The sequence below is a fragment of the Homo sapiens genome, chromosome 10 (assembly GCF_000001405.40).
Source record: "Homo sapiens chromosome 10, GRCh38.p14 Primary Assembly".
NCBI lineage: Eukaryota > Metazoa > Chordata > Mammalia > Primates > Hominidae > Homo > Homo sapiens.
The window spans coordinates 61,423,066-61,447,240 of record NC_000010.11 but is presented as its reverse complement, the minus strand read 5'-3'; the positions used below and the strand labels follow the sequence as shown (position 1 = coordinate 61,447,240).

The following is a 24,175-nucleotide window of genomic DNA, read 5'->3' as shown; positions in this document are numbered from 1 at the left end:
TGGAAATAAAACTCTTCCTCCTCCACTCCCCACCCCAATGTTTTTGGACCCCAGAGAGGATGAGATAGAGGGATTTGAAAGGAGACCCTGTGACTTCCATATGGCCAACTTGGGCACTGGAAATTCTCCCAGAAGATAAACAATTTCTCTCCCTCTTCACACTTCGTGTCCAAGTTGCCTGAAATCTCTCTTTAGCTTTTTAGTGTATCTGAGGTTTTATTCTACAGGTGTACCTCATTTTATTGTGTTTGCACATAGTGCATTTTTTTTTAAAGTTTGTTGTAGCCCTGATGGGAGCAAGTCTTGACGCTGTTTTTCCAACATGTATGTTCACTCTGTGTTTCTGTGTTTCTGTGTCAGCATCTTTTTAGCAATAAAGCATTTTTAATTTTTTTTTTTTTTTTTTTTTTTTTTTTTTTTTTTGAGATGGAGTCTCGCTCTGTCGCCAGGCTGGAGTGCCGTGGCGCGATCTCGGCTCACTGTAACCTCCGCCTCCTGGATTCAAGCGATTCCCCTGCCTTGGCCTGCTGAGTAGCTGGGACTACAGGTGCGTGCCACCACGCCTGGTTAATTTTTTGTATTTTAGTAGAGACGGGATTTCACCATGTTGGCCAGGATGGTCTCAATCTCCTGACCTCGTGATCAGCCCACCTCGGCCTCCCAAAGTGCTGGGATTACAGGCGTGAGCCATCGCGCCTGGCCCAGTATATACATTTTTTAAGACATAATACTATTGCACACTTAATAGACTACAGTATAGTGTAAATATAACTTTTATATGGACTAGGAAACCAAAAGTTTTGTGTGATCTGCTTTATTGAGATATCTGAAACCAAGGTTTGCTTGTATTTGTTATCTTCCTGTATGCTTGTGGGAATGTGTGTTTTATATCCTGAGTCTTGAACTCAGTGCAGAAGGGTGACTTAAATGTGCATCATTTTGGGAAGCACACACTGAATGTTATTAGCAAATGACTTTGTTCTTAGTAATCCAAGTCATGGTTTAGGACAAGAGTCTTCTTCAAAAATTAGTACCATGCTTTACTCCCAAGAAGAAGTCATATTTCCTTCTTTTGCCTCACATAAGACTTCAGATCAATGTAATAATTATGTCTGCAAGTAGAATGGGAGCTCCAAGAAATGGAACCTCTGAATGATGGCTATGCTTTCTTTATGATCATGTTCAACTGAGACATTTAGAACTGAAAATTAAGTTTACTGATATATTTTTTTTCACTTCTTGTACTTGACTGGAGAAAAACAAAGTACAAATTAGCATGGGCAGCTCCTATAAGTCAGTATAAATATATTCCTACTTTTAAATTTCATGCATTTCTTCTCATGGCAGTGACATTATGCATACAGCATCAGGACAAATCTGAATACCTTAAGTTTTTTTCCAACGGTGGAAAAATTCACATTTACATCAAGGTTTATTCTCCCCATGTGTATATTCCCCACTACCCTGGAAGTTCCTGTAAAGTCTTGGTACTAGGACAAAAAGGCCTTTGGTATATAAAATGTTTTGTTAAAAATAAGTTTCTTTCCTTTTTTTTAAAAAAAAATTTAATGTAGGCACTTTATGAAATGTACTTTTTTGGAAAGTCATATTGAAAATATATTAAGAATATAAGGCTTGTTAATGTAACATGCCAGGGTGAACGCCAATTTTGTTACTTTTCTCTGAATATAAACCTATTACCTATAGTTATTTAAGGAGATGGGTTATATTTTATCTTTGTTTTGTCTGACTGACCTCAAAGAGGTAGATAATGTACAACTGACTTAATGTTATCCACTTATTAGAATAAAAATCGGTCATCCTTAAGCACATAAAGAGGTTCTCTAACATCAGTGCTGCTGTAGCCCTGGAAGAGGGGGTGGGGTTGTTCCTGTAGTGTTCCTTTGCTTTCTTATTTCCCAGGTTGAGCTTCCTGTCCCATACACATTTTAATCTACCTGAAATAGCCTCAAAATAAATTGGCTAGTGCCATTCTCAGACAGTCTCTTAATACTAGTGATGACGATGGTGATGAAAATGATGATGGTGATGATGATAATGGAGGTGGCACCACTTATCAATTATTGAGTACTGACAATGCTACAGCCTGCTTTCTTTCCCTTATCTCATGTAATCCTTACAATGACCCTATACATTAGTTGCCATCTTAATTACCATTTTAGGGTGAGTACGCTAATGCACACCAACAATAAATCATTTATCCAAGGTCACAACTGACAATAATAGATAATGAAAACAATTCCTAGCATCAGGTGAGCACTCACATTTATTGAGCCAGGCATTGGCATTGCACACATCAGCTCATTCAATCCTCACAATAGCCCTGGTAGTGCCTTTATGCCTCTGCTTGCAGATGGGGAAGCTACAGCTTAGAGGTCTGGAGAAGGATTCTTCTTCCCAGGATGGAAAGCTTGGTAATCCTGTGTTGAGTCCTCCCCTTACTCCATCAACTTATTTGTTATGTTTTGTATACAGTAACTACATTACTACATAATTTTTAGGGTCAAGGATTTTCTGTAGTAGAGAAAGGGTCAAAGTTCTGTTGGTGTTTTTTTTTTTTTTTTTTAAATTATGAGGGTAAAACTCAAGTGACCAGCTAAAGGAAGACTGCGATGATTTTGCTTAGAACACAATGTAGGGAAGTCCACACTACATACAAGAGTGTCTGGCTCAGATACACTCTTGCACAAGCAAACATTCTTGTAAAACCAAAACAGGACATAAAAGGGAGAAAAGGGGGAAAATTCTAGACTATTTTAACTTTCGTCCTAAAGAACCAATCTCCTCTACAGAACAGAAATAAGTACTATCATCTTTATTTAGAATGAAATAAACTAAAGCCTAACACAAATAACAATTATAATGCATTTTATTTTCTCAGAGAGCATTAAAGTTCCTGTAGTCGGCAGCAATATAAGTTCATTTGTTCATTAAATAAGCATTTATTGTACCAGATGCTGTCATGGTGGTTTTATAAAAAATAGAAAATATGTATAGTTATATGAGAACAGTATAAAATGACATTTAGAGAACCAAATAAATTTTCACAAATTAAGTCCAAGAGTGTGGAAAGCCTGCAGAATCAAGATACAATCAGTAAGGTGGGCTTGTTGACAAGGACCATTTCAGAGGTAAATGATTTCTGAGGTAGTAGTGGTTATGAGTGCAGAAAAGAAAGATGTGCTTTTCAGGTTGAAAGAATATCATGATGGTGACAGTTAGGATTTCAATTGGAACAATTCATTTAGGAGGATGCCATGATTTTCTTTTCTTCTGAAATATTTTATGAGAAAGATAGTATGTAGATCCTCAAATGGATTCATATTTTGTCACTATAACTAGTTTAGTAATAGTGAAACATATTGCTGGAGTTTGTGAACAACTTCAATTGTAATAAAGCTTGTGCTTGCTTTAGGCCTACTCTTGGAAAATTTTAGATTGAGTGAGGTATATGGGGTACTAATTTTGCTATTAGTTTATATCATTATTTGGGAATATGACTTTTTTTAAATTGCAACAACAAACAATGAAAATTATAACTAAGAGTCACATTCAGTAGTATCTTCTCTTTACAAAATCTGAATATAGACAATCTTCAAGGGCTTCGGAAATACAAAGAAAGATTTCATTGCAATGGATTTTCTCAACCCATTTGAAGTTCCTCCTTGTCTCTTCTGTCATTATTTGTCTGGTCTATCCTTAAGATCACTGAATAAACAAACCTATCCACCGATCTTGGCACTTTTTTTTTTTTTGAGATGGAGTCTCCCTCAGTTGCCCAGGCTGGAGTGCAGTGACCCAATCTCCGCTCACTGCTAGCTCTGCCTCCCAGGTTCACACCATTCTCCTGCCTCAGCCTCCCGAGTAGCTGGGACTACAGGCGCACGCCGCCACAACCGGCTAATTTTTTTTTTTTTTTTTTTGGTATTTTTAGTAGAGACAGGTTTCACCGTGTTAGCCAGGATGGTCTCGATCTCCTGACCTTGTTATCCGCCCACCTCGGCCTCTCAAAGGGCTGGGATTACAGGCGTGACACACTGCACCGGGCCTGATCTTGGCACCTTTTAAAACTTTCTCATTTATATTCAATTTTCCATTTTGGGGGGAATTCTCATTAGCTCTTGGCCATTTAGTTGAGGCTTTCTTGCCAGGGAACAGGCACATGCAAAGGGCTTTGGGAAGGGAGGTAATGATGAGGGACATGCTAGTTAAGAAGATTAATGGGTGGTGGCTGGGATCACACTGGTGACTTCCCAGGCATTCAGAGGCTTTGTGTTCCACAAAAACATTGGGTTCACGTTGAGGAGTTGAAGAGAGGTAGAGGAAATACTGAGGTTGTTATATTGGTCATCATATTCCCCTTACACACTAACAGAAAGCCTTTGCCAAGCAGCCTTGATGGAAATCATACATGTTAAGGCCCACTTAGACAAATGAGTCTACATGTAAGAAGGACAGACAACCTTTGCATTGTTAGACAGGTTTAGGGACTTAGAAAAGAATATCATGACCTGGTTTTTTGATTTCCACGAAAATAAACTTTTATAAAGTGCTCCAGAAATTTTACGGAGGACATGCAAAATCTCACTTAACATGAGATTTTGAAACTTGGGTCTAGTATTCTTACAACTTCACTCTGTTTTTGTAGAGGAGAAAATATTGAGAAATGAAATACAAATAAAATCTGGATTCAATTGAAGTACATTTTGAATATTATTTTTGCTTCACTTAAATATTATCCATTTTCAGATATATACATATGATCAGAAGACAGACAGAGAAAAACTAAACAGGGTAGTGATATGGCTAATTTTTCTTCTATAGGCTTACTTATACTGTTATTTGTTAATAAAAATGAATGGATGTTATTTTTTTCAATAAGAAAACATTAATAATTGTCATTTTTAGAAAGAGAAAAATGGAATCCTAATTCTAGACTAATGGTGAGTCAAAGTAAATAAAATCTACTGCAGGGCTAAATTGCTAAATGTCATGACATATCATTTTGTAGAAAACATTATAATTTGTTGAAATGACAACTTTGTATGGTAAACAATATTTTACTTTTGGATGAAATGAACTGACAAAAGCAATGAGTAAAGCTTTTAAAAAGCTTGGAGCAGTGTCTAATATGTAGCAAGACCTATATATATATACATATTTCATAAACAAATAAAACAAAACAAATGAATTTTTAAGTAAACAAGTAAATATATAAAGAAAAAAACTCCTTTGAGATGGTGCTCCTGCTTGTGTACTTGGGAGAGAATTGGTAGGTAGGCTAAGAGCTATGGAATTAAAACAAAAAAACACAACTTCATGGAAAAGAAAGATTTTAAGAGGGCTTTATATGAAAATATAGTTGAGCAAAGTAATTTGGCATTGAAGAATTCATATTGGACAAGTTTGGTATTCTGACAGGTAATTGGGATTCTAATAAATCTGAGTTTCTAAGGGCAGATAGCTCACTGGTAATAGGGTATTGTCCATTTGTAAAAATTTTTCACTTGGACATGTATTAGTCATTGAATCATATACTTATCAGCTTTTATCAGTCCAATATATTGTATGTTTATAAACAGTTATCCAGAAACGTGATATAAATGATTTGTTAGTTGGCCAGATCTTTCCATGGTATTAGTCGTCATACAAGGTACTCCACATCTCCTTACTCCTAATGCCATCAAGACAAAGACTAAAATAAAACCTGGTTTATTAATTTTTAAACTTCACACTCTTCTTTGCTCTAAAAATGAATTGCACAGACAACACATGATCAAGAATACTGCAAACCCTCAAAATAGTAATTAATGGCAAAGATATCACACTAAAATATTAAATTTTTCATAGGAGCAGAACATATAAAATTAGTTTTCTTCTGTAAATCTTCCAATAAAAATCAATTTATGATGACATTTCAAGAAGAAATTTTTATTCAAACCAGCAACAGAGTGTCAGGAAAGTAGAAACTGTAAATCAACCAGAGCCTTATCGAATCACTAAATGTTTGTGGCGAGCTCATCACATGCCAGATACTCTGGAAGGAGCAGAGAGTATACGGTCAGCCCTTCATATATGCAGGCTCCACATCTGCGGATTCAACCAACTGCAGATCAAAAATATTTGGGAAAAAAAACACAATAAAATACAACAATGTGACACTAAAACATAATACAAATAAAAAACAATACTGTACAGCAACTATCTACATAACATTTACAGCTATATCAGGTATTATAAGTAATGTAGAGATGATTTAAAGCATAGGGAGGATATGCATAGGTTATATGCAAATACTACACTATCTTATATAAAGAAGTTAGGCATTTGCAGTGTTTGCTACCTGCAGGGTTTCTAGAACCAATCCCCCCCAGATACTAAGGGATGACTGCACTTTTGAGCAGACAGGCACAGTTCTGGTGCTTGCGTTATTTAGAATTGCTTGGAGTCAACACTTAAACGATATCAAATACACACATATACATATGCACATATGTAATTATAAATATTGAAAATCTATGGCATAAAAGTGACCAGAGAGGGCTAATTTAGACTTGAGGAACAAGGAAAGTTTTCTGAAGTCCCATATAACTGATATGAAATAATCAGGTTAAAAGTAAGAGAGAGGGGGTATTTCTAAAGAGAGAAATACATATGTGAGGGCTTCAGTTGGGACAGCACTTGCTTTTTTTTTTTTTTTTTTTTGAGAACTGGAAGAAGAACACTGTTATATGAACACAGTTGGAAGAATGGCAAGCAAGAGAGAGCAAGAGGTGGGCAGGGCCCTGAGTGGGCAGCATCTTGTAGGTAGTGATGGGCAAATGCTCCATGCAAACCATGGCAGTGTGACAGTAATTGCCTCAACATTGATTGTGAAGTTAAGCATAACGATGTTTGTATTCAACAGTACAAGAAGGGCCCTTGATTCAAGGAGTTTTATATAGGTTTAGTTTTCGTTGTCATTTTTTTTGCTTTTTTTTGAGTCAGAGTCTCACTAAATTGCCCAGGTTGGAGTGCGGTGATATGATCTTAGCTCACTGCAACCTCCACCTCCCGGGTTCAAGCAATTCTCCTGCCTCAGCCTATGGAGTACCTGGGATTACAGGTGCAAGCCACCATGCCCGACTAATTTTTGTATTTTTAGTAGAGATGGGGGTTCACCATGTTGGCCAGGCTGGTCGCGAACTCCTGACCTCAAGTGATCTGCCTGCCTTGGCCTCCCAAAGTGCTGGGATTACAGGCATGAGGCACTGTGCACGGCCTTATATAGGTTTAGTTTTGAGAATCATGGTTTAAAAATATAAGTCATTATAAATTATATAAAGAAACAGTCTCCTAATTGGGTGTCCTCTAAGAGTCCTTCATAAGCATAAATAACAAGTATGTAGCTGTGAGTACATTTTCAGAGCTGAGTCTAGGCAAAGCAGCAAGTACATTTATTGAGCACCTAAAGTGTCAATCTCATTGCATACATTGTCTTATTTAATCCTCATAACTACACTATGAGATGGGTATTATTTTCCCCATTTTACAGATGAGGACATTCAGTTTCAGGGAAGGTTGTGAATTTCCAAAGATCAGTGCATGGAAAAGGCAGGATTCAAATTTGGGTCTTCTAAGTTTCTGAAATTTATACAGGGTCTCACTAACATATAATAATTCAAGGTTCATAGCTGGAAGAGGTTACTTGATACCAGACCTCTTGAAATGAAAGCTCCTTGTAGATATCAGTAGTCTCTATTGACTTTATTTGCTCAGTCCTTCCTTCCTTCATAAATTCGGGCATTCAAATATTTAAGCATTTGCTTAGTAAGCATTAATTTGAGACTTAGTAACACACTGTGATTCCACTGGGGAGAAAAGAAAATGAAGGAGTGGGAAGAGGAAAGAGATATAAGGAATATATAAGACCCAGGACCTTCCTTCATGGAGCTTGCATTAGGAAAGCGAAGTCTTATACACACATAACTATAAAACAGTACAGCATGTGTTGGGCCACAAGAGAAGTACAGGTTAAGATTAATTCCTGCTGTGCCTTTAAAATACAAGTAGAATGTTGGTGGATAGACGTGCAAGAGAAGAACATTCCAAAATAAGCTTTCATAATTTTGGGAGATATTTGCTGTAAAACCATTGCAGAACCTCGCTCCTTAGATTAACCAAACTAAAAGAGCAGAGAGCACTTTGTTCTTACCAGAGACACGTGGTTAGTTAAACAAGGCTGAGGATTGAGTTGAATATAATTAATTCTTGGGCCCTCAATATGATTCCTTTTTCCTTACCCCTTTCTTCATTAGGTCAAATAATCTAAGGAAGAGGATTGAAGTGAGAGGAACTTTCCAAAGCTTTTTGTTTGTTTTATTTAAAATACACAGTCAGTTGTAACTACTGAGTTGCTCAGCTTGACAGGATGTGGTAAGGGAGGAAAAGTGGAGATAAGATCAGATAATGAAGTCTTCGAATATCAGATTATGGAGTTTAGATTTTCTATTAGGCAACACAAAACATCTTGAATCTTGAAGTTTGTTTGTTTATATAACCAGTTTCCCAATTAGAGGAAATACGTTGAAACAGGATAGTACTTTTTTCCAATTATAGAAATAAATGTTATGCATAGAAGATGTTAAGGGTATTGTTTGTTTTATTTTTAACCTCTTTCAAGAGCTATTGTATGTTCAGGCTATGGTTTCCCTAGATTATTATTGTTACATTATTGTTAGGGAGGGGTTAGTCTCAAAATTAATCCCAAGAGACTCAATGAAATTGCAATCCAGCCAACATTTCATGTCTCCAAACCAAAATATGCATATTCCTACTGTCCCTCTTACCTAGAATTCACTTTCTTTCCCAGTTTCACAAGGGAAATATTATCTCCTGATGTTTCCTTTGATATGTGAGGTCAAAAAGTTAATTGTTCTTTTTTTTCTAAGAGCATGCTAAACATGGGCTTTTGATATCTCTCTACAGCTTCACCATCCTCCAAGTCAGATTTTAATAATATCATGACCCATAACCTTTTGTTTCAAAATTGGCTTTTGCAGGAAATCAAAGGTGGGGGAGTATCTATATTAAATATTGATTTTTTAAGAGACCTCTCTTTCTCTTGCCCTTTCTCCCTTCCTCTCTCTAGGAATTGAAAAAATATATTAGTGAAAGGGTTAATAGCCTTTAAAAAAATCATTCTAAATTTTCTCTTTTCATTTCACTTTTCTCTCCTGAATTATAATAACATACTTTGGGTAACATTTCATCTCGAACAATTCTATTTGTTGAGCAATTAACATGTCTATTTTCTAGGTCATTTCAAACTATTGCTGCGTATTAAAAGCATTTTAATAAAATTATAGTGACATAATTTTGACTTTGAGATGTTCTGCAAAGCAAGAGTCCTCTAAAATAAAGTTCAATTTGTTTTTTTATTTGTTTGTTTTTTCTTGAGACGGAGTCTTGCTCTGTTGCCCAGGCTGGAGTGTAGTAGCTGATCTCAGCTCGCTGCGACATTTGCCTCCCGGGTTCAAGCAATTCTCCTGCCTCAGCCACCTGAATAGGTGGGATTACAGGCCCAGACCACTCTGCCTGGTTAATTTTTTGTATTTTTAGTAGCGATGGGTTTTCACCGTGTTGGTTAGGCTGGTCTCAAACTCCTAACCTCAAGTGATCCACCTGCCTTGGCCTCCCAAAGTGCTGGGATTACAGGCCTGAGCCACCGTGCCCAGACCAATTTGAAGAAATAAATGTGGAAAGTATGTTATTTTTCTTATTTCAGCATTTTAAGGACACATTTATGTTGTACCATGTCCGATAATAATACTAGTAATATCTACCTATTATTGAATGCTCACCACTGCCAGGCACTGCTTTACGGGAAGTAAAATTAAAAACCCTGTGAGATAAATGTAACTGCTGAATTGTCTCCCCTTCCAGGTTCTAGACTGAAGTCCTAACCCCAAATGTGACAATATTTGGAGATTAATTTGGTCATTAAGGTTAAATAAGGTCTTAAAGGTAGGGTCCCAATCCAATAAAACTGGAGGCTTTATAAGAAGAAGAAGAGACGGATATCTGAGGACACATGGAGAAGGCACTGTCTACGTGTCAGGAAGGGAGTCCTCACCAGAATCCCACTCTTCTGGCTCCTTAATCTCAGACCCCCAGCCTCCAGAGCTACAAGAAAATTAATGTCTGTAGTTTAAGTCACATAGTCTATGGTATTTTGTACAGCAGCCTGAGTTGGCTGATGCAGTGACGTTTTTGTGGATTAAGAAACAAACTGAGAGGTCAGTGGCAAAACTGGCATTTGAACCTGAGTGTGTTGGATCACAGAAGTCCACTCTTCGGATTCCTTTCTGAATTTTGAATGAGAAAACAGTGAATATAGATAACTTAAAAAAAATACCAAAGGCTTACACCGTTGGTTGTTGGTGTTTTTATTTTATAGGTTTAGCAAACCACACACAAAGCCAATGGGTTACTCTCATTCCTAGTCCTTATCATCTGATTTTTGTGTTCCAGCATCATATTATTGTTTGAGCTCTCAGAGTTCCAGGTTAATGTTGAAAAATGTAGCCATATCTTGAAATTGTAATGTCTAATAAATTCAAGATTTACTCCTGCTGTATTTGCTTTTCGTAAAACATATTAAATACAAAATATCCAGTGTTGTGCCTGAAACTAATTGGCAGTGTCCCATTAAACCATATCAAAATTAATGTCTATTAATTGGATTAGAAATTCAGTGAGAATGACAGCTGCTAGTGCCTTTTACAGTTACTTTGTTTCTTTATAATCCATATGGCAGAAATCACATAATGCTTTTTTCTTCATTGAAATAAACACTTTGAAGTTATACGAAAAGGTTTGACTCAATGTGGTCGGAGTATGTGCATTTTTTTTTCATTCTTCCTCTTAATTTTTTTTTTTGGAAAATTAGCTTAAATTAGCTAAACTATTTTTTCTTCTCTCTTTTCACAGGTTTTCACCAGCCATATTTTTATATCTGATTAGCATCGTTCCATCATTATGGCTTCTTGAATTGCACCATGAGACCCAGGTACTTCTTTTTGGAAAGTAGGAATTGACCTATTCAGCAATAAGCTACTTTCACAGTATGATCCAGTTTATTTTCGGAATGCACTTTTCTAAGGTACTGGAGTTAGCAAGAATTGAATAAATAAGAGGCTATCAGCAAAAGGAAGTGAATCCATGATTTGCCCCCCCAAAAAAAAACTCCAATAAAAAAATTACATTTATGTAAGATTTAGGATTATATAGTGAATTAACATTTTGTGTTAGAGATCTTATTACTAAGACTTCCCCTGTCCCCCACCCTACAGGATGGTAGAGTTTACATGGGGGTGTGGAAATTTGATTTTAACCCTTCCAGCTTCAGTGAGTTTCTATGTTGTGCTAAGAATGGGCATGCCTCAATGATCTGGCATCCTGTAAAGTGACACTTTTAGGAATTTCAAAAACAAAAACAAAACCCTTATCTGTAGTCAGCTATATAAATGCAATTAAACTTATAGGAGCCATTTAAAATAGTCTCTTTTAAAATGCAGGTTATGCAGATTACAGGAGATTAATTTTTGGGAGTCCCACGGGCTGCCTTAGTGAAATAGAAATTCTTTTCTAGAGCCCCGAAACTAAGATTAAAGGGGAGGAGTCGTGGGACCCACCATGTGGAAGGTGAGCTTATATGTATTAGAAGATCACATTGTCATAGAAATAAAATAGTAGCTTCCGGCCAGGCGTGGTGGCTCATGCCTATAATCACGGCACTTTGGGAGGCCGAAGCGGGTGGATCACGAGGTCAAGAGATGGGGACCATCCTGGCCAACGTGGTGAAACCCTGTATCTACCGAAAATACAAGAATTATCTGGGCGTGGTGGCATGCTTGTGTAACTTCAGCTACTGTGGAGGCCAAGGCAGGAGAATCACTTGAACCCGGAGGTGGAGGTTTTAGTGAGCCGAGATTGTACCACTGCACTCCAGCCTGGCAACAGAGAGAAACTCCCTCCCAAAGAAAAAGTAGCTTCCAATAAGAGTCCCTAATTTATTACAGAAATTTTTAATACAGCTATTTTCTACACAGACAACTCTAATAAGCAGTCTCTAGGTTGAGTGCAGTCATATACTGCTGTTGATGTTCCTGTACAACTCTGGGGAGGCCAAGTTTCTAAAGTCCATCTGATTCCAGCTTTGACTTCATAGTTCAGGTTACAGGACTATGTTACAGAGAAATGTAGTTATGACCTAATAATATTTTGGTAACTTCACTGATAAAATACTTTAGAAAAGATCTTCGAGAATTTGGACTTACATAGATTTCTTTGTTATAGTTGGTCATTTTATAGCAAGGTTAAGCCCCCAATATGTAACCCTATCTGCCTCCAATATATAACCTTATCTGTAAAAGGCTTGCTCCAAATTATAGGCACACAAAGGGGAATTTAGTTCTGTGGACTACTTTTGAAGAATTCTACAAGCAAGTACCAAGAATGTAGGGATGAATAAAACATTTTTCTCCCTTCAATCTGCTAAAAATCACCAAAGTCATATAGGCTATCCCTATGTCTGTAGCAAAAGTGTTTTTGTAACTGTATATTTTTGGTTCAAGTTATCATGGCTTTTTAAAACTATACTGGAAGGAGTTAGGGGACTGTTTCAATCTCTTTACTATTTACTACTTTCAAGGGTATGAATATAAGCTCTAGTGATTTGAATCAATTCTTTCATGTTTCTTTCATATCCAATTCTATGACATGGCTGTCATACACAATAACCATTCATTTCCCTAAATGCTTTTATAATATAAATTTGTTGCACAATTAATTGATATACAGCTCAAATCCCGTTACAACAAATAACGTGCAACCAAAAGTTCCCTTTTTAATAAAAAAAGATTTTTGAGCCCCGAGCAGTAGCTCTCTAATTTTCAAACTACAAAAGAAACTGAACCTTTAGTAGTAATGGATTTGACTCATTTTGACACTGAGAATTAAAATGAATGCCCAGAGGTTGAATTGGGCAGACTGAGCAGAAATGAAAGTAGAAAAATAGTAAGAGAGAAAAAAAGTATTGGAATTGCAGTTAAATAAAGAAGAAATGGCAGAATAAAGGGAGTTACAGCAATTCTTCTAGTCTACTCATTTAGAACATTTTGGGAGTGATAATAATCACTTTTCTTCAGGTAGTCTCCTGCACTTTCACAAATGTTTTCACATATATGGACCCAACAACTCCATAGGTTAGGCATGATACATACATTTCTATTTTAAAGACGAGGATCCTGAGACTCAGAAAGGTTCAGTAATTTTCCTAAGTTGATACGGTGAATACACAGTAATGCTGGGGCTTAGAACCTAATGGATGTCTAGTCCATTAAACCATATTGCCCTTCTCAGCTATGTGTTCTGTGTTTTAGAGGAGTTTGCATCAGAATTATCTGAGTTGTTCATTGTAGAAAAGAGTAATTTAATTTTCTTTCACATTTTCCGTTTGCTCTATATACTATATGTTCTAACCTATGACTTGGCATTAGGAAAACATCCTGACCTATTTCATGAGACATTTCTCCTAGATAACTAATTTCTTACCTTCATTCCTGAATCTGGTTGGGTGTACATGTATGGGAACAAAACGTTTATGACAATGATTGTGACCTTAGTTCTTAGGTCCATTTATGAAGTGGCAAGATTAAAGTAGTGGAAATATTCTGGTCATCTTGTTGTCACAGTCTTGTTGGACCCAAAGGAATATTTTTGAAGCTAATAAGAGTTTAAAAGACACAGCCTTTTTTTAAAAAAAGGCATGTTGGTATCCAGATAATCTATGTGAACTCACCTATACGAGGCAGAATGTAAACAATATAATCCCCAAAATAATACAAGTCAGGCTAGGTTTTAAGAGTGAAGTCACTTGTTCACTGCAGTCCCAATGTAGAGGCCAGTTGGAGGAAAATCTCATAAATCTATAACAAATAGAATAACAAGAGCGGAGAGCAACTCAGATAAGTCTTAATACCATAATATGGACTATGAAGCTATTTGCTTCCAAGTTATCTTCTACTGCACTAAAGCATGGCCTATTTTCTTAAATAACAAGATGTTTAAGTATTTTAGTGGTAAGAATGTCAAAAACATATTAAGGTCGCCATTTTTAATACATAGTCTGTTTTCATGCCTACAAAGTGGTCAAAATATATTTCCTATTGAAATAAATCTTAAATAAAAACACCAACATGCTTTGCAATGAAAATTTGTTGCTTGGTTAAACATTTAATTTTTATCTTCATTATCTTTTCTTGGAGGCTTAGCTGCACACATATACACACACACAAAGTGTGCAAACAACTGTATTTTTGCTCCTACAGATATGGAATATGGCCATTTTTCTTAATTATTCTTGTCATTTCAACCATAATACTAGTCGTTTGGAAAGAGAGTAGAAAAAACAGCTTCTTGCAGACTTTCTTTTCTGTTTTTTCAAGTAGCTTATAGAATAGTCGACGATGTATCCAGAATAATTAAGAAAAATACACTTCTTACAGCTTTAATTTTTTTTAAAAAAATAAGTCCTCTCTAAATACAAATGTGTGATCGTGGATGTGTGGTGGTTGTAGTGGCGGTGGTGGAGCATGTGTATGTGTTTCAAAATATGTTAGCACTGCAGATGTTTGAAAAACCTTCAACTTTTTTTAAACCAGTTTGTAAAATTTTCATTGGGTACAGCTACATTTTCAAGTGTCACTCCTTTCTTCTCTTACATAATTTTTCCTTTTCTTACTTTACCTCGGATTCCCAGCATCTGGTGGATAAATATCATGCACAATTCACTTGGAGAAATTCTCATACAAAATGAAGAAACAAAAAAGGAAAAATGCCATTTTTCATGTCTGTTGTTGAATTTTCCATAGACCTAAATTGGCTTTTACACTGTCACTAAAATGTATGTTTTGGTGGGTGAACATGATAATTTTTTAGGTTGTTACAGTACTTGACAGTCAGGATTAAAAATGATTGGATTATTTACTTAAGCAATATGATATTTTAGTTAAAGAGGCTTCTGGATAAGAAACAAACTCTTAAAATACTATATACACACACATACACACACACAGACACACACTGTGGAATACTACACAGCCATAAAAATAGCAAAATCATGTCCTTTGCAGTAACATGAATGAAGCTGGAGGCCAGTATTCTAAGCAAACTAACACAGGAACAGAAAATCAGACACCACATGTTTCACTTATAAGTGGGAGCTAAAAACTGAATACACATGGACACAAAGATAGGAACAACAGACACCAGAGACTACTTGAGAGGGGAGGGACGGAGGGAAGTGTGAATTGGAAGGCTGCTTATCAGGTACTATGCTCACTACCTGGGTGATGGAATTCTTCATACACCAAGCCTCAACAACATGCCATTTACCCATGTAACAAACCTGCACGTGAACCCCCAAAACCTAAAATGAAAGTATAAAAAGAAAAAAAAAAACACTGTAATTTCCTTGACCAGGATCATATATGTTTGATTGTTGTCACTGGTTATTTGTTTGGTTTTAAATTCTTGCAGGGTTTAAGAAAGGAATCTCAGTTACCAATCTATAAATTCTACAGCTCTCTGCAATGACTCAGAGCATTTGCATCCTCATTGACTTATGGAAAAATAAGATTTGTATACTTGACATTCTTTTCATATTGATTAAAAAGTGGTTTTCAATCTCAGGCCTATATTCCGATTTTTGGAAATGTTTATATATATGCTGTATAAACTCTGCATATCTGCTCATAATCTCTTGAACAGATTTAAGTCATTTTGATCTCTACCATATTGTGCTAATTTTTTGCCATAATTGCCTTCCCTGACCCCATTCTTAGTATTGCAGTATCCAGGCTGAAGGAACATCACAGAATACCAGCAGAAAAGAAGACTTCAATCAAACATTGACATCCAATGAACAAACCAGTAGAGCTGATGATCTCATTGAGACGGTGAGAGCTTTTCCACTGTTTATTAAAGGATCTAGAAAATGGTGGACTTGGTATAATCCTCAATTACCTGCTATACATGCTTCCCAGCTAATTCTTTCCTGAAGAAAGTTATCCATTGTTTGGCTTAGGAATTCACAAAATAATTATATTTTTAAATTATTAAACATTTAATATGCATAAGTATATACATTGATACATTTTATATATATTAATAGATATATTTAACCTGCATCATTAAGGAACACATAAAGAAGATAATATGTGCACATTGAGAGACATATACATTTATGAAACAATGATATAATTAAAAAATTGGGATATGATAATTTTAAGATTTATTTTTTAGAGGAATTTTAGATTTACAGCAAAAATTGGGAGGAAGGTACAGAGATTTCCCATATACTCTGTACTCATGTACAGCCTCCCCATCCATCAATACCCTGCACCACAGTGGTGCGTTTGTTAACACTGATAAACCTACGTGGCATTTTTGGGGATGCCAATAAAAGTGGCGTTTTGTTTTTAATTTCAAATTTCACTTATTCTTTGCTAGTATATAGGAAAGAGATTAACTTTTGTATATCAACCTTTTATCCCACAACCTTGCTATAAACGTTTACTAGTTTCAGGAGGTTTTTTTTTTTTTTGTCAGTTCTTTGGGATTTTCTACCTAGACAATTATGTCAACTGTGAACAGAGGCAGTTTTGTTTCTTCCATCCCAATCCCTATACCTTTTATTTTATTTTCTCGTCTTATTGAATTATCTAGGAACTCCACCATATGTATTTTGTAGATGTTTATTAATAACATAGAGAAGATTTCTGGCCAAAACAGAATCCCTTCCTTTTTCTTCATAAGGCTGTTATTTGGCAAACTGACCATGACCTATTTAAAAAGGAAAAGGCCCCTATCACCAAAACATATTTTCAATAATAAGATGTACTATTGGTTCTGTGAGGTTTAATGGAATGAACCTTGGGTTCTAATTCAAGCTCCAATCACAATTTATTTATATCAGTCTGGACAATCGCTTAGTTTCTCTCTCAGTTTTTCATCTGACAATCAAAAATATTAATCTTTACTCTACTAATGTGCTTCCTGTATAAATTAAATATGATGTACGCAAAGTTTCATAGTACTAATATAAGAAAGCGTACAGATGGAATATTCTTGATTTTCATGTATGGATTCAATCAGGATAGCATCATGCCTTGTCTTTTATCCGTCCTTGTGCATTTGATATCAGCAAGTGATGGAGAGGGGTAAATGAATTTTGCACAAACATAGTTAAGTCACTTGCATAAATAAGTTGGAATCATTATCCACTTGAGACCTAAGTCCTTGTAGGGGCAATAGTATACTTTGAGACTTATTTAGAATGTAATTGGGCAAGTTGTCATCCAGAATACATTGGTGGGATGTAAGTTTTTCTTAGTCTAAGAATAATGGCAGTGTAAAATTTGCTTGCTGGCTTATGGATTATTGAATAGTATGTTAAGTACTCAGAATAAAAATAATAATTTTACAGTTATTCTCTTTCTTTACATTTAGGTAATCGATAAACATTATTACATTTTTATGTTTAGCTATAATAGAGTTTTAAAGCAAAAAAACAAAGAGAAGATTTGTACAATGCTAAAAATATTTCAAGATTAGTACATTCAGATTTAAAAATCTATTAAAGAAAAATATAGGAAGTTTTTGTGATATTAATATGGATTTTATAAAACTTTGCTATGTGTTATTTTTCATTACACAGTATAATAAAATGAGACATTAAAACATTGTAAAATTGGTTCTTTAAATACTATATGGTACAATCCCACTCGTAAGTTTAAGGCTCAAATTACTTGCTAGTTATAGGCACCCCCATCTTAAGGACCATATTAGCTTTTTATTTTTTTCAGAGTGTTCAGCTGAAAGGCATTTTACTTTCTTTAGTAAGTAAAGAATAACTCCTGAAAATTACTCTCTACAAAAGCAAACTCTTGATTGAAAGCACAGTGAGGAAAATATTTCTCTCTCAGGTGGTGGCTGATAATCCTGTCTGTATGACATTTCTGTTAAACAGGCCAAAGTTTTTGTGAATAACTTATCTACAGTATGTGAGAAAGTTTGGACATTGGGACTCCATCAGACATTCCTGTTAATGCTAATAATTGGAAGATGGCTTCTACCCATTGGAGGCGGGATCACTCGAGATCAACTCTCTCAACTTCTTCTTATGTTTGTGGGGACAGCGGCTGACATACTGGAATTCACAAGTGAGACCCTAGAAGAACAAAATGTGAGGTGAGCATTCCTTGCAGCAAAAACACCTTGTTTTCAGGGTCAAGACCATGCACCTGTCTCTTTGTTCTGTGACTTGTATTTCACATGAATAAGAATTTTTAGTATATTTTATATGCAACGTTAGGATCAGAGAATTTGCTGCTGTTTACGTATTAGAAACGAGCACAGTCTTTATGTTTTTTAAGAAATACACAAAGGAGATTTCTGCTAGAGAAAGAGACACATAATATTCTCTGTGGGAGAGAACAGAAAAGCTCTGCATGTTTTCATGACCACAGGTTAGATAGAGTCATGGTTCTCTGAAAACCTTCTGAAGTGGAATGACCATCCCCAGCTCCTCTTTTCCATTCCCAAGTGTCAGAAGCATAGTCAATCATAAAATCCTCTCCTAGAACACAGCATAGCTACAGTTTAAGAGAGCACTGAGAGAAGACATGGAGAAGTCTCTCCCTATCCATTTGGGGATTTGCATTCCCTGGTGTATATGGAGAATGGGGCAGATGAGGTTTTATTTTACTAAATTTTATTTTTAGTCAGTTTTGTTCAAAGTGCCCACAGGCTTTCTGGTGTAGAGGCCTATAAATTAAAACTTATTGAGTTGGTACTTTTATTTTTGCCACAAGCAAATAAACTCAGAATCCATGATCACATCTGTTTACGGAACGACTTTCTTACCATTAGGGATTTAAGTCTCAGTGCCTGAATATACTTTAAGCTTGGGTTGTTTTGCACTATGCCATAAAAATAAATTGGAATGAGTCTGGCTTTTAATGCTACAGTTTACTTTATGCTGTGCTTCTCAAACAACAAAACATAAAGCTCAACGAAATACACTAACTTACCAAGTAAATTTAATATCCCAATTATAGCACAAATTATATTTATAAACATGAGCTACCTTTACAAGATAATTTCCTGTTTCATCTATACTAATTTTTCTTATAGCTTATTAAGTTGACATATTCTTTTAAAAATCCAATCTAAATTGATTCATTATCTTCAAAGTGTTGATTTTAGTTCCGTAGTTTTAATGTCTTAAGTATGATCAGTGCTTTACACTGTAAAATGTATTTTCAAATAGAATACAATGTTGTTACAAGAAAAACATCAAGCAATCATGACAGAGCACATAAAAGTGACAGGGACATCACAATAGAAAGATAATTAACTCCACCTATATAGAAATAAACATGCACATGCAAAACATTTAGGGAGTTGGGAGGGAACATAGGATAGTAGAAGAGGTAGTAAGGAGGGATATGTTTTGTGGGGCCAGTCATAAAATTGTAAGAAATGCCTAACTCATTTATCTTAATGGACTGTTAGTCCCATCCAGAAGTGACACCAAGGAGCAATTTATAGATCTGTGTTTTCCAATAAAGGTTGAATATTAAATAATTTCGTGAATAAAAGTAGAATTGCCCAGCAAAACAAACAACCCAAATGAACGAAAAAACCCAAATCTTGAAAACCATAAGGCATTTTTTCACTCACCCACTACTGATTGGTTATCTAATATGTGTCAAGCACTGAGCTAGGCAGAGATTGGGGAACAAATTGTGAGCAAGTATTAGTAAAAGGACACACAGTCCTATCTCAATCAAGACTGTTTCAATTCAGTAAGAATTTAGGGAGCACTTAATGTTTCAAGACACCATAAATACTCCCAATTTCTTCTATCACCTACCAATTAATCTGAATGCTTTATAAATATGTATTTTTATAATTTTAAACTTGTATCATATCCCAGGAAAGCTGATGTTTAATGGAGCCCAATAAATTATGTCATAGTTTTTATTGGTTAATGTTTTTAAAATTTGTTTTCAATTTTCATTGTCTCAGGTTGAAGTCATTTTCATTTTTAATATTACCACATTGTGACAGTAGCCTTCTGTAATTCCCATTCAAGTTCTATGTGCCTCTATTACTCAGATATCCACTGTCCCAAAAACCCTCCCAAAGTCAAAGCCTAGGAAGGATATAAAATTTTTCTCTCTCCTAAAAATTAGCTTCCATGTTCTGATTTCCTGTTTTGGTTCTCGCCTATACTGCAAGAATAGACACTGCAAATATCTATTTTTTCAAAGAAGGAGACCCTTAATCCTTTCCAACTGGGACATAAGCCTTCCCTTTTAGGCTCAAGAGGATAATCATGGAGAATAATCTTAATACATAAGTAAAAGATATTTATATCTAATAGAAGAAGGGATCACTTCATTGTAGTCTACTCAGCATTGCCTATTATTATGACATTTTACTTTTTCTAATGTTTTATTCCATAGTTTAGGCTGATAGATTTAGGAGAAAGCCTACAATGATATCTACATCACAAAAATGTCTAAATCTCTTCCCTATTTTCTAGCTAATATGTCAAATTCCATTTTTTATTAAATAAATTTCCTTCCTTTGGCTCACATTGAAGTTCATCTACCTAAGTTTTATGGATTTACATAGCTTTGTAAAGCTTCTGATTCTGCAACTTTTTCTTAACAGATTTGTGAAGTTATGGTTTAAATAACATAAAGTTCAACTGTAATTCTATTGTTTAATGATATTTAGTAATTATAGATTTGTTTATCCATAACCACAATCCAGGTTTAGAACATTCCCATCACTCCAAAAAGATTCCTGTGGCAGTTTGCAGTCAGTCTTCACTCTTAACAGGCAACCACTGATATCCTTTATGTCTCTGTGGATTTTTCTTTCCTAGAAATTTCATGGAATTTGAATTATAAAATGTGTGCTCTTTTATGTGTGGCTTTTTTATGTAACATAATGTTTCTGGGATTCATCCATGTTGTTTCATGTTTAGCTCCTCTTTAGTTGCTAGTGTTCCATTAAACACATATACCACATTTTGTTTATCCATTCAGTAGTAGATGTACATGTGGATAACTTCCAGCTTTTTCATATTAAGAATGATGTTGCTAAGAGGATTCACTGACAGACTTTTGCCTGGCTATGTTTTCATTTCTCTTTGGTAGACACCTAAGAGTGGAATGGCTGGTTATATGTTAAGTATAGCTTTAATTTTTAAAAAAATCTGCTGAGATATTTCTAAAGTAGTTGTATTAATTTATATTCCCACCAGCAATGCATGAGGATTCCGTTTTCTCTGCATCCTTATCAACCATCCTTTTCCCTGTAGTCTTTTTTGTTATACCCTTCTGATGGATGTAGAGTGGTATCTCACCAGGACATTAATTTGCAGCTCTTTAATGACTAATGTTGCTGAGCATCTTTTCATGGAAATATTAGCTATTCATCTATCTTCTTTGGTGATGTGTCTGTTTAAATTTTTCTTCATGTTTTATTGGATTGTCTTTTTATTATTGAGTTGTAAGAATTCTTTATATATCCTTGATACAAGTCCTTTATCAAATATCTAAATATAAATATTTCCTCCCTGTGTTCAGCTTGTTTTTAATTTTTTAATGTTTATCTTCTGAAAAACGTGTTTTTAAAATTTTGAAGAAGTTCAAATCTATCAATATGTTCTTTCACATTTTTGGTGTCATATCTAGGAACTATTTTCCTAACTCTAAATGAGAAATGTAATTTCTTTTGTTTTCTTATTGATATGGTTTGGCTGTGTCCCTGCCCAAATCTCATCTTGAATTGTAACTCCCACAATTCCCAGGTGTCATGGGAGGAAGCTGGTGGGAGGTGACTGAGTTACGGGAGCAGGTCTTTCCTGCACTGCTCTTGTGATAGTGAATGAGTCTCACAAAATCTGATAGTTTTAAAAACGGAGGTTTCCCTGCACAAGCCCTCTTTGCCTGCTGTCAGCCACGTAAGATGTGATTTGCTCCTCCTTGCCTTCCCCCATGATTGTGAGGGCTACCCAGCCATGTGGAACTGTAAGTCCATTAAACTCTTTTTCCTGTATAAATTACCCAGTGTTGGGTATGTCTTTATCAGCAGCATGAAAATGGACTAGTACACTTGTAGAATGTTTTAGTTCTTACATTTATTTCTATTATCTGTTTTTACATAATTTTTGTGTACAGTGGGAGGTAAGGTTCCAAGTTTATTTTTTATTTTTGGCACTGCCCCATTCCAGCTGGGACTAATTTTCCCAATACCATTTGTTGAAAGGAGTCTTTCTTTATTATATTGCCTTAGCATCTTTGTCAAAAATCAGCGGATCACAGATATAAAGCTTTTTCTCTGGACTTTCTGTTGTGTTCCATTGTTTTATTTGTTTGTCATTATACCAATACCACACTGTCAGGATTATGTAGCTATAGTGTGTTTTGAAATTGGATATTGTAAGTCTTCCAAAATTGTTCTTTTAAAATTTGTTTTAGCTATTGTAGGTGCTTTGCATTTTTATATAATTGTTATAATTCTCTTTTCAAGTTGTAAAAAAGGGTAAAAAATTAAAAAAATAACTTACTATGCTCTTGGTAGAGAATAAATTGAATCTAAAGATCAATTTGGGAAGAAGTGTCATCTTAACAATATTAAATTTTCCAATCTGTGAACACAAAATATCTCATCCTTTGTTTAGATGTTCCTTAATTTCTCTCAGCAATGTTTTGTAATTTTCAGAGTGCAAGGCTTGTACTGCTTTTCTTAACTATTTCCTACGTATTTTATTCTTTTTGATGCTCTTAGTAGTGGAATTATTTTTTTAATTTTATTTTCACATTTTTTATTGCTATAATAGAAACACAGTTTACTTCTGTATGATGATCTACTATCACAGCCATGCTCAACTTGCTAATTAGTTTGATCCCTTAAATTTTCTCCTTACAGTATCATGCTGCTTGTGAACAGACTGTTTTGATTATTTCTAATCAGTATGCCTTTATTTTTCTTGCCTTATTGCACTGGCAAGAACTTCTTTCAATGTCAAATAGAAGTAGTAAGAGTAGACATTTCAATCTCAAAAGATAAGCATTCTGTCTTGCTGTATTAAAGATGATGTTACTTGTGGGTTTTGTATAGATGCCCTTTACCAGTTTGAAGAATTTCTCTTTTATTTCTAGATTATTGGGAATTATTTTTTGGTGGGTGTTAAATTTCATTAAATCCTTTTCCTGCTTTTATTGACATAATTACTTGTTGGTTGTCTTTTATCCTATTAAAACAATAGATTACACTAATTAATTTTCAGATATTAAACCAACCTTGACTTCCTGAGATAAATTCTACTTTATTATAACATATAATCTTTTTTTATCTTTTGAGACAGGGTCTTGCCCTTTAGCCCGGGTCTAGGCACCACCCAGTGTGATCACCATTGCACTGACCTCCTGGACTCAAGTGATCTTCCCACCTCAGCCTCCCAAGCAGGTGGGACCAGAGGCAAAGGCCCTCACCGGCTAATTTGTTTTATTTTTTGTAGAGATAGGATCTCCTTATGTTTCCCAGTCTGCTCTTGAACTCCTGGTTTCAGTCCCCCGGCCTAAGCCTCTAAAAGTGATAGGATTATAGATGTGAGCCACTGTGCTCAGTCTGTAATATTTTTTACATGTTATTGGATTCAGCTTGCTAACATTTGCTTATGAGGCATATTGATCTGTAGTATTATTTTCTAATGATATCTTTTTCTGTCTTTGGTAATGCTGACTTCATCAAATACCTCAAGAAGTATTCCTTCTTTATTTTCTGAAAGATTTTACATAGGTTTGGTCTTATTTCTTCTTTAAATATTTTATAGAATTCACCTAGGGAGCTATCTGGACCAAGTTTATTTTGTGGGAAGATTTTTTAAATTATCAATTTAATATCATTACTTTTTATAGGTCTATTTAGATATTCTATTTCTTCTTAAATCAGTTTTGATTACATTTTCCTTTCTAGGAATTTTTCTATTTTATCTATGTTGTAGATTTTTGTCATAAAGTTGTCC

General features: G+C 35.2%; 1 protein-coding gene across 6 annotated transcripts in view, besides 1 other annotated feature; it reads left to right on the top strand.

Moving 5' to 3' along the window:
• Window positions 1-24,175, top strand: part of TMEM26 (transmembrane protein 26) — a 46,740-nt gene that overhangs the window by 6,141 nt on the left and 16,424 nt on the right. For 5 of the 6 annotated variants that reach the window (NR_134507.2, NR_134508.2, NM_178505.8 and 2 more), the window contains exons 2-4: window positions 10,993-11,071; window positions 15,909-16,022; window positions 18,095-18,315. Coding sequence is in view for 4 of the 6 variants with exons in the window: in NM_178505.8 (NP_848600.2) it covers window positions 10,993-11,071; window positions 15,909-16,022; window positions 18,095-18,315 (414 nt within the window). In the remaining 2 variants the exon portion in view is untranslated. Of the gene's footprint in view, window positions 1-10,992; window positions 11,072-15,908; window positions 16,023-18,094; window positions 18,316-20,910; window positions 23,492-24,175 lie in introns of those variants that run through there. The other variant, XM_017015829.2, reaches the window with a different exon arrangement.
• Window positions 13,304-13,504: a silencer, noted in NCBI's record as "peak956 fragment used in MPRA reporter construct". NCBI's record gives its function as "represses an SCP1 promoter by STARR-seq MPRAs in K562 erythroleukemia cells {active_cell/tissue: K562}" and the evidence as "EXISTENCE:reporter gene assay evidence [ECO:0000049][PMID:32103011]".